Genomic DNA, 19,876 nt, shown 5'->3' on the forward strand with positions numbered 1-19,876 from the left:
CCTGGGCTCGAGATCCTCCCACCTGTGCTTCCCAAGTACTTGGAACTACAGGCACACACCACCATGCCCAGCTAATTTTTATTTTTTGTAGAGGCAGGTCTCACTATGTTGCCCAGGCTGGTCTTGAACTCCTGGACCCAAGAGATCCTCCCACCTTGGCCTCCCAAAGTGCTGGGACTACGGTTGTGAGCCACTGCACCTGGCCTGTTTTCTTGGGTTTTATGCTGTTTGATGAAGCTACTTGTGCCAATGGCATCTTGTTTTAATTATTGTAGTGAGCAAGTCCATTACTAACACATAGCAACATCAGTCTTCCTTCACCATTATCCTGTTTCATATTGTCCAGTTCCCCCCCAAAAATAATCCCAAGATGTCTAATTTTAGTTATATGTATGTCCTGGGAATTTGGGATAGAATTTACACATTTTAGGCCAGGCATGGTTGTTCATGCCTGTAATCCCAGCACTTTGGGAGGTCGAAGCGGGTGGATCACTTGAGGTCAGGAGTTTGAGACCAGCCTGGCCAACATGGTGAAACCCTGTCTCTACTAAAACAAAAATTAGCTGGGCATGGTGGCACATGTCTGTAATCCCAGCCACTCAGGAGGCTGAGGCAGGAGAATCACTTGAACCTGGGAGACAGAGGTTGCAGCGAGCTAAGATTGTGCCACTGCACTCCAGCCTGGGAGACAGAGACCCTGTCCCCTCACCCCAAAAAATTACACATTTTAATTGCAAAATCGTGTCTTAGTTCACCATGACAAGAACTGGTGAACTAGTGAACAACTGGGGGCAAAATTGTATTCGGAGTTTACCGTGACAAGAACCAGTGACTGATGAACAACTGAGTTCACCAGTTCACTGATTGAAATACCTCTTGGGTGATCTATGTGTAGCATACATAATCATGGTCTTTTCTCCTCCCTCTTTCTCCATCTTCTAACCAGGCAAAACTGGTGAACTTCTTCCCCTTTCCCTGTGATGAGAGGGACATGAACTATGAGTCAAGGTTTTCTAAAAAGTGGGTAAATCTTTTTTTTTTTTTTTTTTCCTGAGATGGAGTCTCGCTCTGTAGCCCCACGCTGGAGTACAGTGGTGCAATCTCAGCTTACTGCAACCTCTGCCTCGTGGATTCAAGCAATTCTCCTATCTCAGCCTCCCAAGTAGCTGGGACTACAAGCACACACCACCATGTCTGGCTAATTTGTGTATTTTTTAGTGGAGATGGGGTTTCACCATATTGGGCAGGCTGGTCTTGAACTCCTGACCTTAGGTGATCCACCCGCTTCAGCCTCCCAAAGTGCTGGGATTACAGGTGTGAGCCACCATGCCCAGCCTCTAAAAAGTGGATGAATCTTAAAACCATAGTAGACCTAAGCAGCATTGATAAAATGTGTATTAAGTATGAACTTTCAATGCACAAGACTCAGGCGTGCAAAAAAGTAACTTTGATTTTCCATCTCTGAACTTAATTTCTCTCTTTAGCTGCAGTTTGCCAGTAAATTCATAGTAAACTCCATCACTTCAGAATTTTTCCTCAATTTCTTTGGAGAACATTCAAAAAGTTAAGGTTATTTTCTTCCTCCATAATTCCCCTCAAGGTGCCATTTCATTTCTAGGACGTTTTCAAAGAATCACAGAGTTGGGGTAGCCTGAGAGGACATCTGATCCTTGGAGTCCTGTCTTACACAGACATGTGCAGGAATGTCCAGTCCCATATGGTCTCCAGGCATGAAGACTAGTGTTTGCTGACGCATCCAAAGTCCTATTTCATAGCTCTACAGTCTGAGACATTCCCTCATTGGCACAAGGACCTACACTATTCCTTATACCCTAGCTAGAGGGGGGATCTGTATTAGTCTGTTCTCATGCTGCTAATAAAGACATACCAGAGACTGGGTAATTTATAAAGGAAAGAGGTTTAATGGACTCACAGTTCCACATGGCTGGGGAGGCCTCACAATCATGGCAGAAGGCAAGGAGGAGCAAGTCATGTCTTAGATGGATGGCGGCAGGCAAAGAGAGAGAACTTGTGCAGGGGAACTCCTCTTTATAAAACCATCAAATCTCCTGAGACTTATTCACTATCACAAGAACAACATGGGAAAGACCAGCCCCCGTGATTCAGTTACCTCCCACTGTGTTCCTCCCACGCTACAATTCAAGATGAGATTTGGGTGGGGACACAGCCAAACCGTATCAGGGTCCCTAGTGGACCCTATGTTTTACCAGCTCCCAGTTTGGCCTTCCTCAGGCAGTGCCCTCCTGTCTAGAGACCAAGCCCATCCCCACTTCTAGAACACACACTGGATAGCCAAGACCCCATAATTCCCAATATAATTCCCTACATTAATGATCCTGAGTCTGTTTCCAGGGCTGGTATTGACCTCTTTGCCAAGTGGTCCTCCTGAAGGCAAACTGTGCCTCTGGTGTACAGCAGTTGTCTGCAAAGGCACGGATGAAGCTTGGACATGTGGACAGGGGTGTCCATGCATTCCCAGGGTGGAGGGAAAAGGGATAGAGCAAAAGCTGGGAACTGGGGACTGGCCTTCCACCATGGCCATGTACAAGTCTAGAACTCAATGTGCGTTATGGCCTTCAAGGTCATTATAAAAGCATGTTGGTCAAGCAGAAGCATATAACTCATTTGACAGTGGTTAGTTTGACTTATAACTTCTGTGTAAACATATAGTAGGAGGCCTTCATTTGTACTCCTGCCCCAGAGCCTGTGAATACTAGGGGTGAGCCAGATAGGACTCTCTGGCTCAGAAACCTAATATTCTCCCTGGGACATAGAAATTTTGGCCGTGCCATGACCTACTCCAGGGCCATGGGAGGCTACCTCAGGTTTCTCTCCTCTGAAGGTCTCAGCCATCCCACTCCACCTTATTATTCTTGCTCTGTGGAGCCCAGGGAACACCTTTGAGATCAACACCTCCCAGGGCTCCAGCAGCAAAGCAGATTCAAGTGTCCTTTAGCCTCAATTTCCTCAAAATAACTGTATATTGTTCACCACACCTTAGGGATTCACTCTAGAATTTCTTTTCTTTTCTTTTTTTTTTTTTTTTTTTTTTATTTGAGACAGAGTCTCACTCTGTCGCCCAGGCTGGAGTGCAATGGCGTGATCTCGGTTCACTGCAGTCTCCTCCTCCCGGGTTCAAGAGATTCCCCTGCCTCAGCCTCCTGAGTAACTGGGACTACAGGCGCCTGCCACCACACCCAGCTAATTTTTTGTATTTTTAGTAGTAATTTTTGTATTTTTAGTGATTTCGTATTTTGTATTCACCATGTTGTAATTTTTGTATTTTTAGTAATTTTGTATTTTGTATTCACCCTCTTGGCCAGCTGGTCTCGAACTCTTGACCTCAGGTCATCCACCCACCTCAGCCTCCCAAAGTGCTGGGATTAGAGGCGTGAGCCACTATTCTAGTGTTTCTTTTGAAATTACCATAGGCTAATAGACTCAGAAATTATCTTGAAATGTTTAAAACAATAATCTTTTTTAGGTTTAGGAAAGCATATCAAATGTACATATCACAAAGTAAATGTGCTTCCTCTTCCACCTTCCCAGAAAAAACCAATAACCTGACTTCTAATACCAGAGATTCGTTTGACCTGTTTTTGAGCTTTATATGAATAAAATAAGATAGTGTGCACTCTTTTGTCTTTGGCTTTTTACCCTCAATATTAGGTTAATGCAATTCACCCACAGTTGGACATAGCAGCAGCTTTATTTAATCTCATTGACATGTAGTATTTCATCACTTGAATATGCTCATGTATCCACTCTACTTTTGTTGGGCATTTGAATAATTTCCAGTTTTTAGCTATCATAGATAAAGTTGCTCTGAACTTTCTTTTGTGTATCTTTTGATGCACTTAAGTATGATTCCTATTAAATGTATATTACATCTGGGAGTGGAATTTCTAGTCATAGACTATGCATATATTTAGTTTTAATAGATTCTGTCGAAGAGTTTTTCAAATTGGTTGGACCAGTTTACACTCCCACTGGGAGTGTATGAGTTTTCGTTGCTTCACAATCTCACCAATGCTAGATATTATCAGTCTTCTTCATTTTAGCTATTCTGAAAGATATGTCATCATTGGTTATGCCTCCCAATATTTTGTTATGAAATTTTTTGGCCAGCCACAGTGGCTCACACCTGTAATCCCAGCACTTTGGGAGGCCAAGGTGGACGGATCACCCGAGGTTGGGAGTTCAAGACCAGCCTGGCCAACACGGTAAAACCCCATCTCTACTAAAAATACAAAAATTAGCTAGGCGTGGTGGTGCACACGTGTAATCCCAGCTACTCAGGAGGCTGAGGCAGGAGAATCGCTTGAACCCAGAAGGCAGAGGTTATAGCGAGCTGAGATTGCGCCATTGCACTCCAGCCTGGGCGGCAGAGTGAAACTCTGTCTCAAAAAAAACAAATAAATAATTAAAAAGAACTGTTTCAAGCACACAGAGAAGTCTAAAGAAACATTATAATGAATATTGTATATTCACCTATACTCTTATATTTTTAATATTTCCATTTATCATTAGCTATACATTCTGTTAAAAAAACAAACAACTAACTTTAGATTTTGTTAGGAAAAATATAGCTAATATTACTATTTTCCTTCTGAACAAAACAGGAACCTTAACTTTTTGCTTTTCTTCTTCTTCTTCTTCTTTTAAGTAACAGGGTCTCACTCTGTTGCCTAGGCTGGAGTGCAGTGGCATGATCTTAGCACACTGCAGCCTGCAACTCCTGGGCTCAAGTGATCCTCCCACCTCAGCTTCCTGAGTAACTGGAATCACAGATATGTGTCAGCACACCCAACTAATTTTTTTATTTTTTTGTAGAAACAGGGTCTTGCTATGTTGCTCAGGCTGGTCTCAAACTCCTGGCCTCAAATGAGACTCCTGCCTTGGCCTCCCAAAACACTGGGATTACAGGCATGAGTCATTGCACCAGGTCTTAACTTTTTGTTTTTTTTTTTGTTTTTTTTTTGAGACAGAGTCTCGCTCTGTCGCCCAGGCCGGACTGCGGACTGCAGTGGCGCAATCTCGGCTCACTGCAAGCTCCGCTTCCCGGGTTCACGCCATTCTCCTGCCTCAGCCTCCCGAGTAGCTGGGACTACAGGCGCCCGCCACCGCGCCCGGCTAATTTTTTGTATTTTTAGTAGAGACGGGGTTTCACCTTGTTAGCCAGGATGGTCTCGATCTCCTGACCTCATGATCCACCCGCCTCGGCCTCCCAAAGTGCTGGGATTACAGGCGTGAGCCACCGCGCCCGGCCAACTTTTTAAATCTACTCTGAATTATTCCCACCTATCTTCCAAGTTTTTGTTTATAGATGTCCATCACATGTTGATTATAAACCACCTCCAAAATATTTTTTGTGGCTGTTTTTACATTTGTCAAAATATTTTACCATTTTCTTTCTTTCTTTCTTTTTTTGAGACAGAGTCACGCTCTGTTGCCTAGGCTGGAGTGCAGTGGCGCAATCAAAGCTTACTGCAGCCTCAACCTTCTGGGTTCAGGTGAACCTCCTGTCTCAACCTCCCAAGTAGCTGGGACTATAGGCATGCACCACCACATCCAGCTAATTTTTGTATTTTTTGTAGAGACGGTTTTACCGTATACCCCAGGCTGGTCTCAAACTCCTGTGTTCAAGTGATCTGCCCACCGGAGCCTCCCAAAGTGCTGGGATTACAAGTGTGAGCCACCATGCCAGCCTTTGCTTTTTCAATCTAAATATTTGTATCTTTTTCAGTTCTATAGACCTCTCAACCATTTTCACTTTTAATATCACCTCCCTTTCCTCTGACCCTCAGTCTTTCCTTCTAGAACTCTGATTAGAAGTATACTAAATCTTTTCACTCTATCCTGTCTTTAATGTCTTAATTTTTAATTTTTAAAATCTCTTAGTGCTCTATTTTCAGTAACTTTCTTAGATCTATCTTCCAGTTTTTTTAGTTTCCTCCTTAGCTCCTTTTTTTTTTTTTTTTTGAGACGGAGTCTCACTCTGTCGCCCAGGCTGGAGTGCATGGCGTGATTTCAGCTCACTGTAACCTCCACCTCCCAGGTTCAAGTGATCGTCCTGCCTCAGCCTCCTGAGTAGCTGGAATTACAGGCGCGCACCACCAGGCCTGGCTAATTTTTGTATTTTTAGTAGAGACGGGGTTTCCTCATGTTGGTCAGGCTTGTCTCAAACTCCTCACCTCGTGATCCGCCCACCTCGGCCTCCCAAAGTGCTGGGATTACAGGTGTGAGCCACCGTGCCTGGCCCTTAGCTACATTTTATGTACTATTTAGCCCATAAATTGTTTCTAGTTTTAATCATCACATATTCTGTATTTTAGAAGTTATACATTTTTTTCTAATCTTCCTTATCCCTTTTGATAATCTCTTATACCTACATCATAGTTTCCATAACCTTCTAATTTTTTTAGAACTATTGAGCATACTTATTTAATATTCCACACTGGCCATTCCAAGGCCTATACTGGAGGTTATTCTCTGCAGTTTGTTATCTCTGCTCATTCTTGCTTATCATGGCTTATTTCTTTGTGTGTTCTATAGTTTGGGATTACGAAATGAGGGTCCTTGAAATTTTGTATGTGTAAATCCCTTGAAACCTAGTGTAGTAGCTTCCTAGGGCTGCCATAGCAAATTAAACTGGAGGGCTTAAACAACAGAAATTTATTCTCCCACAGTTCAGGAGGCAAAAAGTCTGAAATCAAAATGCCAGCAAGGCTATGCTTCCTCTGACGGCTCTCTGGAGAATCCATCCTTGCCTCTTCCAGGTTCTGTGGCTCGTAGCATTCTTTGGTTTGTGGCAGCATGATGCTAATTTCTCTGTCCGTCTTCACATGGCCTTCTTTCACAGAGAGGACTCTCTGTGTCCTCCTTTCCTCTTCTTGTAAGGATGAGGATATCAGTCATAAGGGCCCACTTTAAATCCGGGATGATTCATCTTGAGATCCTTAATTAATTACATCTGCTAAGAACCTAGTTCCAAATTAGGTCACATTCTGACGGTGCTGGGTAGACATGCATTTTAAGGAGACACTCTTCAACCCACTACAATGAGGATTAGAATATCTGTGGCCAATGAAAATTTGTTTTTGCTTTTGGAAATTGGAGGAACTACCAACCTGGAACTGTTTTAACCTAACATTTTGGCTTGGGGTTTTTTTGCTGTTATTTTTTGTTTTTTGGGGTTTCATTTTTGTTTTTGTTTTTGTTTTGAGACAAAGTCTCACTCTGTCACCCAGGCTGGAGTGCAGTGGTGCAATCACAGCTCACTGAAGCTTTGACCTCCTGGGCTCAAGAGATCCCCCCACTTTAGCCTCCTGAGTAGCTGGGACTACCAGGTGTGTGCCACCATGTCTGGCTAACTTTTAGATTTTTGGTAGAGACGGGGTCTCACTATGTTGCCCTGGCTGGTCTTAAACTCCTAGGCTCAAGCATTCCTCCCACTTTGGCCTCCCAAAATGCTGGGATTACATGTGTGAGCCACCACACCTGGCCGGATTTTTTTTTTTTTTTAACTCATAGAAGACAACCCCATTTGAAGGTGAGTTATTAAGAATTCTCAAATTATTTTTTTTCCCTTTCCCTCCTTTGAGAAACACAGTTGACACAAACAATATTTCTCCCATCTTCTGTGAAGTGTTTTCTAGAGTCTAGTTTTTTTTTTTTTTTTTGAGATGGAGTCTCCCTCTGTCACCCAGGCTGGAGTGCAATGGTGCAATCTCGGCTCACTGCAACCTCCGCCTCCCAGGTTCAAGCAATTCTCCTGCCTCAGCCTCCCAAGTAGCTGGGATTACAGGCGTCCACCACTATGCCTGGGTAATTTTTGTATTTTTAGTAGTTACGGGATTTCACCATGTTAGTCAGGCTGGTCTCAAACTCCTGACCTCAGGTGATCCACCAGCCTCAGCCTCCCAAAGTGCTGGGATTACAGGCGTAAGCCACCACCCCCTAGGTGTTTTCTAGATTCTTAATCAAAATGCTAATCTATGAAGGACCTCATTTTGTTTTAACTATCCCAACTCTAACCTCACACCTTGCTTGGGATCTAAGCTGTCTCCTGTTCAAAGAAAAGAAAAGTTTGATTTTAATGCTGAATAACCGTTCTGGTTTCTGATTTTCTTATAGTGTCTTTGCCTCAGAGATTTTCTTCATTTTCCCACCAGCTCAGTCATGCATATCAAAAGAAGTTTATGCACAATTGAAGGACACCAACTAAAATTTGAACAAATAAGAGGTGTGTAATCATGTTGAATAGAAAAACTCAACATCATGAAGATTTTAATTCTCCCTAATTTAATTTATAAATTTGTCTCAGTACCAATAAAGTTTTTTTTTTTAATTTTAGAATGAGACAAACTAGTTTTGAGTTCAGATGGAAAAATAAAATAGCCTGGAAAGCTTTAAAACTGTGAGACTTATTCTACTAAACATTTAAACACATTAAAAATGTTAAGTACATAAAATTGCATTTGTATCTGGGAAACAGACATAGAATAAGATTGAAAGCCCAAAAATATTCCACATACACATGAGAGGGTCTTACATGACAAAGGTGGCATCTCAAATTGATGTGGCAAAGACAGACTATATGGTATTTGTTTGAGACAACTGAGTAACCACCTGAAAAAAAATTAAGTTGGGCCCATACCTCCATCAGGATGAACTCCAAGTGGATCAAAGATTTAAATTTTAAAATGAAACTATATTTACTGATAAGAGTTATTTATATATATTCTGGATAGTCCTACAAATCAATAAAAGAGAAGTAACTCAAAAGAAAAATGGGCGAAAGACTTGAGCAAATACATCATAAAATAAGATGTCTAGGCCGCACACGGTGGCTCACGTCTGTAATCCCAGCACTTTGAGAGGCTGAGGTGGGTGGCTAACCTGAGTTCAGGAGTTCATGACCAGCCTGATCAACATGGTGAAACTCCGTCTCTACTAAAACTACAAAAAAATTAGCTGGGCATGGTGGCACACACCTGTAATCCCAGCTACTAGGGAGGCTGAGGCAGGAGAATCACTTGAACTTGGGAGGCGGAGGTTGCAGTGAGCCAAGATCACACCGTTGCACTCCAGCTTGGGCGACAGAGCAAGACTGCATCTCAAAAAATAATAATTAAGAAAAAAGACGTCTAATTGGCCAGTAAATAAATGAAAAGATGTTTAACTTCATTAGTCATTGGGGAAGTGCAAATTAAACCCATAATGAAATACTACTACATACCCACCAGAATGGTTAAAAAAAAAAAAAAGCCTAATGATACTAAGTAATGAAAAAGATGTGCATTAACCACAACTCTTATACCCTGCTGATGGGTAGGTAAGTTGATGCAATCACTTGGGGAAAATGTTGCACAGCATCCACAAAAGCTAAATATATGCTTACGTGGAGACACAGTGATTTCCCTCGTAGGTGTATACCCAGCAGAAATGTACACAATTATGTACAAAGAAGGTATACACTGAAGAGATTTCCTTTCACCCCTGTCCTCCATCTGCTCTGGGCTTCTTACTGTATAACATAAAAATGTCTTCATTATTCAAATCCTGCTAATTAAAGTGTTGGACCAGCAGCAGCAGCAGGATCTAACAGGTTACTACAGCTTGTCAGAAGTGCAGAATATCAGGTTATGCCCAGATATACTACATTCATACCTGCAATTTTATGAGATCCTCAGATAATTCATCCACACCATAAAGTTAGAAAGCCCTAGTTTAAGCCATTGTTATTCAAGTATTCTCTTCCGTGCAGTTGAAAACATTCTAACTAATATAGACATAGCCAAAAATATCTTTCCCACCCAAGTTATTCATTGACTACTACCTCATATATGTCAGTTTACAGCCTTCTCTTTGCTCAAGCAAACATACACACACACACACACACACACACACACACACACACACACACACCCCCTGGGAAGTATGTTTAAGAACATAGACACGTGGGAGTCTGAGGCGGGCGGATCACAATGTCAAGAGATCGAGACCATCCTGACCAGCATGGTGGAAACCCTGTCTCTTCTAAAAATACAAAAATTAGCCGGGCGTGGTGGTGCATGCCTGTAGTCCCAGCTACTCGGGAGGCTGAGGCAGGACAATCGCTTGAACCCGGGAGGCAGAGGTTGCAGTGCGCAATACTGCACTCTAGCCTGGCGACAGAGCGAGACTATCGCAAAAGAAAAAAAAAAAAAGCAAAAAGAACATAGACACCTAGCGGCCAGGCATAGACACCTAGAGGCCAGACACAGTGTTGCATGCCGGCAATTCCAGCACTTTGGGAGGCCGAGGCAGGCAGATCACTTGAGTTTAGGAGTTTGAGACCAGCGTGGACAACATGGCAAAACCCTGTCTCTACAAAAAATACAAAAATTAGCCGGGATTGGTAGTGCACACCTGTGGTCCCAGCTACCCTGGAGGCCTAGGTGCAAGGATTGCTTGAGCCTGGGCAATGGAGCCTGCAGTAAGCCAAGATCACACCACTGCACTACTCCAGCCTGGGCAACAAAGTGAGGTGAGACTGCCTCAAAAAAAACAAAAAAATAAAAAAAAAATAAAAAAAAAAAAGCAAAACCATAGACAGTGGAGCCAGAATACCTGAGTGAAAAACCAAAAATAAAAATTGAGTTTTTAATAGAGCAGTTTCAGGTTCACATCAAAATTGAGTAGAAAGGAGAGTTTTCATATGGTCTTTGCCCCCACTCATGCACATATATTTTTCCATATACTATATTCTCCACTGTTTAGTTCATTTTGTGCTGCTACAACAGAATACCACAGACTGAGTTATTTATTTATTTATTTATTCATTCATTCATTCATTTATTCATTTAGAGACAGGGTCTTGCTCTGTTGCCCTGGCTGGAGTAAAGTGGTGCAATCATAGTCCACTGCAGCCTTGACCTTCCGGACTCAAGCAGTCCTCTCACCTGAGCCTCCCAAGTAGCTGAGAGACCACAGGCACAAGCCACCACATCCAGCTAATTTATTTTTATTTTTTTAGAGATACAGCCTTCCTGTGTTGCTCAGTCTGGTCTCAAACTCCTGGGCTCAAGTGATCCTCCTGTCTCAGCCTCCCAAAGTGCTAGGATTACATCCTCCCACCTCAGCCTCCTAATGTTCAGGAATTAACACATGTGAGCCACTACATCCAGCCCATTTTCAAATAACACTGTATCATTTCGCTGGTAATGCAAATGTCTTTTTTTTAAACAGTTTTTTTTAAACAAAAAATGACTTCAAATTTTAACTCTTTTTTAAAAGCATTAAGACCCTTATTGTAGATTATGTATCATCTCCTCTTTAGCTATGAGATGTGTAGTTTTGTTAACTAGAGACATTAATGAGTTCAGTTTCTGAGACCAGTCATTTCATAAATTATTTGGATCCTTGGGTCTCTGGAAGTTGTTAATTCCTGCTAATCTGTCTACTTTAGCAAATATGGTCTTGTTAACTACTAGATTTGAGAGAAAGGCTTCGGACTCATCAACAGATAGATCCAGAAGCTGTACCATCCTTTTCATTGTCATCCGAGTATAATACTTGGCCATTATTCTAATATTATGTTCAACAACTCTGTTATTCAAATCTTTCCACCTTTTTTCGCCTTCCTCTGTAGAACCAAAAGCATCAGTTGCAGGACTGCCAACGGAACCTTTTCTTAATTCCATTCCATAGTCCTCCACAAGTGTGGACCAACGCATCAACTCCATTGTGGTAAAAAGCTTTAGAAGATCCTTGTATTTGGGAATTTCTTCTGACTTCTTGTCACCACTTATTCAGTGAACCAAATCTGACTGTTCATTGTCAAAAGGAGCCAGGGTAACATAGGGTACAACACTCTTCATAGCCTGCTGCCATTTTTCACTTTCTGCCTGTATACAGGGAGTATTATATATTGCTCTGTAGTGCTTACAAATAAACAAATAGGATCCCTCATGTTCATCCAGCTGAGTCATTAAATTATCGTACTTCAACTTTAATTTCGCTGTATTTTCTTCCTGGAAAAACTTGGTATTAATTTTCTTACTGATGATTTATGTTCGAATGTAATCCTTTACAGCTAGGCAGAGCCTCATTTGCTCCAAAATAAATTCCACTTGCTCTTTCTTTTACATTGATCCATAGGTTTCCACCTGTAGCTCCTATAAACGGAGGCTGCCTCTTTCACATCACCATTTTGTTCTTTTATAGTTGCTAATGTTTTAGTCAGTCGAGCACACTCAATTTCAACATAAATCTTGCCTTCGGTAACCATTCATAGAGTATCAGTTAATTGAAGTTTGATAGGAAGGTCTGTGATTTCCTCAACATAAATACAGTACTATTGAACCATTTTGGCAACAGCTTGTATTAACTGACTCCGCCTTTTGGACAAAAGTGTAATATTTTCATTAAGTAAATCCCATTCTTTAGCCTCATAGCACATCTTCACTACTGCAACTAAGATTTGGGATGTTGACCCCATATCAGAAGCAGTACGAGTCTGTTTTTCCAAAGAGAGAAGGGTTTCCATGACTTCTTGAAGTCTTCCTTCCTTGGCCAGCTTCTCACACTCGGGTAGGCACTGATCTACCGTGGCGTTGTAGTCCACTTCCATTTTGAATATGCGCCCGTCAGCCTGCTGCAAGTGGCCGTCTGCCATGGTCTCTGCCTGAGTGTCCCTTGCTGTCCCCCTGCTTTGGCCACCACTCATCACCCACACCGGAAGCTGCCCGCGCACCTGCTCCGCAAATGTCTTATAATAACAAAATATTCCTAATACTTCCCTCCCATCCCTTGTGTTATTACTGTCATTCCTTCCACTTATACATAAGCTTTAATCATCAAATACATTGTTATTATTTTGAACAAACCTTTTGTTATATCAATTAAGAATTTTTAAAAATATGTGTTGTATTTTATCTTCACTTATTCATTCTCTTAAGCTCTTCCTTTCTTTATGTAGATCCGAGGTTTGGACCTACATCATTTTCCTTCTCTCTGAAGAATTTCTTTTCACGATTCCTGCAAAGCAATTATACTGGCAACAAATTCCCTCAATTTTTGTTTGTCTAAGAAATTCTTTATTTCTCCTTCACTTTTGAAGGATAATTTATCAGGATACAGAGTTCTAGACTCGTGTTTTTTTTTTCTTCAACACTTCATGTATTTCCTTACTCTGTTCTCGCTTGCATGATTTCTGAGGAGAAGTCAGATGTAATTCTCATCTTTACTCCTTTACAGTTAAGATTTTATTTTCTGACTTCTTTCAAGTTTTTTTCTTTACCTTTGATTTTATGCAGTTTAAATATGATATGCCTAGGTATAGTCTCTTTCTTTCTTTTTCTCTTTCACACTTACATTGCTTAGTTTTCTGAGCTTCTTGGATCTGTGGCTTAGGGTCTGCTATGGTTTGAATATGGTTTGTTTGTCCCTGCCAAAACTCGTGTTGAAATTTAATCTTCAATGTGGTGGTGTGGGGAGATGGGACCTCCTGGGAGGTGTTTGGGTCAAGGTGGCAGATCCCTCATGAATTGCTTGGTGCTGTTCTTGTGGGTGTAAGTGAGTGCTCACTCTGGCGAGACTAAATTCATTTTTGAGAAAATGGATTTGTTCCCTCAAAAGTGGGTTATTATAAAGCCAGAATGCCCCTTGGGTTTTCTCTCTGGATGTGTCTACTTCCCCTTTTACTTTCTCCGCCATGTTATGACACAGTGCAAAAGCCTTTGCCAGAAGCCACACACCCTTAACTTCCTAGCTTACAGAACATTAAGCTAAGTAGGCTGAGCACAGTGGCTCACGCCTGTAATCCCAGCACTTTGGGAGGCTGAGGCGGATGGCTCACTTAAAGTCAGAGTTCGAGTCCAGCCTGGGCAAGATGGTGAAACCCAGTCTCTATTAAAAATACAAAAATTAGCCAGGCGTGGAAGTATGCTCCTCAGGAGACTGAGGCACAAGAATCACTTTAACCGAGCAGGTAGAGGTTGCAGTGAGCCAAGATCGTGCCTGCACTCCAGCCTGGGCAACAATGTGAGATTCTGTCTCAAAAAAAAAAAAAATTGAGCTAAGTAAATCTCTTTTTAAAATAAATTATCCAGTCTGTTATATCAACACAAAATAAACTAAGACAATGTCTGACATTAACTTGAAGAAATTCTGAGTCATTATTGCTTCAAATATTTCTTCTGTTTCTTTCTTCTCCTTCTGGTATTCTCATTACACATAAATTACATATACCTTTGTAGTTACCCCACACTTTTTGGATATTCTGTTCCATTTCTTTTTCAGCCTGGTTCCTCCCTTTTGCTCTATTGCTTCTTCTCTGGCCATGTGATCTCTGCACATGGCTGGCTCCCCTTAACCTTTCACCATGAGTGGAAGGAGCTTGATGCCCTCACCAGAAGCAGATGCTGATGCCATGCTTCTTCTATAGCCTGCAGAACTGTGAGCCAAATAAACCTCTTTAAAAAAATAGGCAAAGCATGGTGGCTAACACCTGTAATCCCAGCACTTTGGGAGGCCAAGATGGGTGAATCACTTGAGGTCAGGAGTTCGAGACCAGCCTGGCCAACATGGTGAAACGCTGTCTCTACTAAAAAATACAAAACTTAGCTGGGCATGGTGGCAGGTACCTGTAATCCCAGCTACTTGGGAGGCTGAGGCAGAAGAATCGCTTCAACCCAGGAGGTGGAGGTTGCAGTGAGCCGAGCTCTTGCCACTGTACTCCAGCCTGGGCAGCAGAGCGAGACTCCATCTCAAAAAAATAAAAATAAAAAATAAATTATCCAGTTTCAGGCATCATTTTATAGCAACACTAAGTGGACTAAGACAAAGCCCTTAGATTATAAATCATAGTTGTTTTAAATTTCCAGTCTGATCAGTTCTCAAAAGAAGATATACAAATGGCCAACAAGCATATGGAAAAATGCTCAACATCACTAATTATCAGGGAAATGCAAATCAAATCCACAATACAATACCACTTCACTCCTACAAGAATGGCCATAATAAAACAAAATCAAAAAATAATAGATGTTGGCGTGGATGTGGTTAAAAGGGAACACTTTTACGCTGTTGATGGGAATATAAACTAGTACAACCACTATGGAAAACAGTGTGGAGATTTCTTAAAGAAATAAGAGTAGTTCTACTGTTTGATCTAGCAATCCCACTGCTAGGTATCTACCCGAGGAAAAGAAGTCATTGTACGAAAAAGATACTTGCACTTGCATGTTTAGGCAGCAAAATTGCAATTACGAAAATATGGAACCAGCCCAAATGCCCATCGATCAATGAACATGTATACCATGGAACACTACTCAGCCATAAAAAGGAATGAAATAATGGCATTCTCTGCAACATGGATGGAATTGGAGACTATTATTCTAAGTGAAGTAACTCAGGAATGGAAAACCAAACATTGTATGTTCTCACTCATATGTGGGAGCTAAGCTATGAGGTCGCAAAGGCATAAGAATGATACATTGGACTTTGGGGACATGGGGGAAAGGGTGGGGAGTGGCAAGGAATAAAAACTACACATTGGGGGCCAGTCGCAGTGGCTCACAACTGTAATCCCAGCACTTTGGGAGGCCGAGGTGGGCGGATCACGAAGTCAGGAGATCGAGACCATCCTGGCTAACACGGTGAAACCCCGTCTCTACTAAAAATACAAAAAATTAGCCAGGCATGGTGGCAGGTGCCTGTAGTCTCAGCTACTGGGGAGGCTAAGGCAGGAGAATGGGGTGAACCCGGGAGGCGGAGCTTGCAGTGAGCCGAGATTGTGCCACTGCACTCTAGCCTGGGCGACAGAGCAAGACTCCGTCTCAAAACAAACAAACAAACAAAAACTACACATTGGGTACAGTGTACACTGCTCAGGTGATGGGTGCACCAAAAGCTCAGAAATTACCACTAAAGAACTTATTCATGTAACCAAACACCACCAGTTCCTCAAAAACCTATTGAAATAAAAAAAAAAGTAAAATCTATCTACCAAAAAAATTAAATAAATAAATTTCCAGTCTGATAATTCCAACATCTGTGGCATATCTGAGTCTAGTTCTAGTGTTTGCATTGTCTCTTCAAACTGTATTTTTAGTCTTCTAGTATGCCATGCAATTTTTTGTTACATGCTGTATACAATGTAATAGAGAAAATAAACTATGGTAAATAGGCTTTTAGTGATATGGTGGTAAGGTGTCGGGAGGGGAAGCATTCTATAGTCCTATGATTAGGTCGCTGATTTTAATGAGCCTATGCCCCTTGGCTAGAAACTTCACAAGTGCTTCCAGTCCCCCTCTACGTAGGTGGGACAGGATGGTTAAAGGGAGCTGAAGTTGGGTATTTCCCTTCCCCAGTTCACTTAAGCTCCGATAAACCCCAATAGGATGATAAAAAATAGTTTCTCTTGAGGGCAGGAAGAAGACCTGATGTATTTAAAAATGATTACGTTTTCCTCCCCTTGCCAGAGCAGTAGGGGATTTTCCTCTAGTGTTCACTGTGAGAACCTGGCAGAGCTCCTGGAGGTAAACTCACAGAAGTGTGGGTCCTGTAAGACTGAGCCCCACCAACCACCAGGATTTTTAACTTTCTGACTTTTCCACACTAAGCCTTCAGCAATTTGTGAATTATAGTTTAGGTTTTCCTACCCCAGCACTGGTTCCTGCAGAGGTTTCTGCTTGGGTTAAGTTGCACTTAATTCTCTGTATTTCCCTGGCTTTTCAAATTCTGGGACAATGGTTTGCCCTGTGATGTTACTTCTCTGATGGACCTAAAAATAATTGTTAAATTTCAGTTCGTGCAACTTTTCACTTGTTGTTTGACAGACTGGAAACCAGAAGTCGTATCTGCTTTTTCTTTTTAGCTGAGCAAATTAGCTAACTCTTCTGTGTCTTAATCTCCTTATCAATAAATGACATAATAGCATCTACCCCTTAGATTATATGAGTTAACACATGTAAAGTTCTTAGAATGGAACTAGCATTTAGTAAGACATAATGAATGTTAATAATGACTACTACTATTAGTGCATTTGTGATGTAACTTCAAAATAGGAATATATGTATATATATATATACACAGATATAATAAATATTTTATAATATCAATAAATATATATTACTCCTTAATCGCTGCTTTATTAGATCAATGTTTGCTGGATAGGGCTCCAGATTGGGCCAAGTTAGGATGAATAGCTAACAACTAGTAGTTGACAATGAATGCTTTATGGTAACCATTAATTTCACATAGAATTGCTGCACTTAATTCTCACAAGAAATATATAAATGCTATTATTATCCTCATTTGATACATGAGGACATGAAGCTTAGGAAGAGAAAGTAACTTGCCCAGAAGTGTGCAGCTAGTAAGGAATGGAGCTAATATTTGACCCTAAGAAATTTTACTACAGAACGTGAGCTCATATTTTTCTGCCTTCTAATTTATTATTTTTTAAAAGCTGTATAATATTCTACAATGGTATAAATGGTCAGCTGATTTACAACAAATACTAATAATATTCACTGAGAGAAAGATGATCTTTTTAACAAATGGGTTAATTAAATATCCATAGAAAAACATAAATCCTGTCCTCTGCCTTTATACCTTACAGGTAAAAATAATCCACGATCGGTTGTAGATCTACCTGTGAAAAATCAAATAATATAGAGTCTAGAACTATGCTTTCCAACATGGCAGCCATTAGCCCCATGTTACTATTTAAATTAAATAAAATTAAAAATCATTTCCTTAGTTGTACCAGCCACATTTCAAGTGCTCCACAGCCACATGGGGTTGTTGGACTACCATATTGGATGGAAAAGATATTGAACATTACCATTATCACAGAAACTTCTATCTTTTATTTATTATTTTTATTTTTGTAGACATAGGGTCTCACTTTGTTGCCCAGGCTAGTCTTGAACTTCTGGCCTCAAGTGATTCTCCCATCTCCTGTCCCAAAGTACTAGGATTACAGGTGTGAACCACCATGCCCAGCCCAGACAGCTCTATTGTAAAAGAAGATAAAAGAATTTCTTGAGACCAAGAGGTAGGCAAAGATTTCTTAGACAAAACACCAAACCTACTAACCCTGAGAGAAAAGACTGATAAGCTGAATTTCAAAAAAAAAAAAGAAACTGGATCCTTCCAACAATCATGTGAGTGAAACCAGGAGCAGATCTTTCCCCAGCTGAGCCTTCAGATGAGACCACAGACCTGGGCCAACAATTGATTATAGCCTTGTGAGAGACTGTGAAGCAGAGGGCTCAACTAAGCTATCCCTAGATTCCTGACTGACAGAAACTATGAGATTATGCATATTATCTTAAGCCACTAAATGTTGGGGTCATTTTTTTTGCAACAATAGATCAGTAATATAAGAGGTGAGGGAAAGAGGATGGTTTCCACCTAATTTCTGGCTTGAGCAACTAGGTAACTAGAGGTGTCAAGATTCTAGGAGAAAAAATAGATTTCAGAGCTTCCAAATTATTAAATATTCCCACATCCAGAACTTTTAATACAGTGGATTCTCAACGAATTAAAATAAAATGCTAATATGACAATGATTTAGAATATAATTGAATTTTAGATGATTTATAAAGCATTAAAATTAAGCATTTTTTTTCTATCAGACATCTAAGTGAGACATTGGGTAAGCCATGGGTAAGGGAGTCTAGAAGCCTTTTCTATAACATTAGAGGATGTAGCTCATTCTGTCTTGTCACCACCAGGTAAGAAGTGCCTTTCACCCTCTGCCATGATTCTGAGGCCTCCCCAGCCATGTGGAACTACATGTGCATTGCCATTGTGATTTCTCTTCTCATGATCCTGATATGTGCTATTGGCTACTTACAGAGCATACAAGCAACACATAGCCTAGATCCTCCCATTCTTCTGTTACCAGATCTTTAATTTTGCCCTGAATACCTTGGTTGCAATCACTGTGCTTGTTTATCCAAACGGCATTCAGGAATACATACGACAACTGCCTCCGAATTTTCCCTACAGAGATGATGTCATGTCAGTGAATCCTACCTGTTTGGTCCTTATTATTCTTCTGTTTATTAGCATTATCTTGACTTTTAAGGGTTACTTGATTAGCTGTTTTGGAACTGCTATCAATGCCAGGAACTCCTCTGATGTCCTGACTTACATTACCAGCAATGACACTGCCCCTGTATGATGATACCACTGTGAATGGTGCTGCCAAGGAGCCACCACCACCTTCCATGTCTGCCTAAGCCTTCAAGTGGGCAGAGCTGAGGGCAGCAGCTTGACTTTTAGGACATCTGCGAAATAGTTCTGTTATTTCACTTCTGCAATGAGCTCTCTGAGCTTGTTTGTTGCTGAAATGCTACTTTTAAAAGTTTAGATGTTAGGTTGAAGCCTGTAGTTTTTAACGTATGCTTTGCTAGAACACTGTGATAGATTAGCTATAGAATTCTTTCTGTAGGATTGGGGGTGTAACGGGCTTCACTAACCTTCCCTAGGCACTGAAACTTCCCCCAAATCTGATGGACCTAGAGTCAGAGAAGTCCACTTTTGTACCTGCTGGGACCCAAAGTTGAGCAGTTAGTCACATTTTTTCTCTCTGTTCCCTCTCTTTTGAAAGTGTAAAATAAAATCAAAAATAGACAACTTTTTCTTAAGCCATTCCAGTGTAGAAAACAAAACCTTATGAAAACAGGAATGTCAATTATGTAATCATTATTCTAATTAGTTAAATAGAAGTCCTTATGTATGTGTTACAAGAATTTCCCCCATAACATCCTTTATGATTTAAGTTCGATGACAGTTTGCGCTTGGTGGTAAAGGATTTTCTCCATGGCCTGAATTAAGACCATTAGAAAACACC

General features: G+C 41.0%; 2 pseudogenes; one reads left to right on the forward strand and one right to left on the reverse strand.

The window, feature by feature from the left end:
- PSMD12P1 (PSMD12 pseudogene 1) lies at nt 11,249-12,740 on the reverse strand (annotated as a pseudogene).
- On the forward strand, nt 18,812-19,459 carry LAPTM4BP2 (lysosomal protein transmembrane 4 beta pseudogene 2; annotated as a pseudogene).
- The last annotated feature ends 417 nt before the right edge of the window (nt 19,460-19,876 follow it).

This window comes from Homo sapiens, chromosome 3 (genome assembly GCF_000001405.40).
Source record: "Homo sapiens chromosome 3, GRCh38.p14 Primary Assembly".
Taxonomy (NCBI): Eukaryota; Metazoa; Chordata; class Mammalia; order Primates; family Hominidae; genus Homo; species Homo sapiens.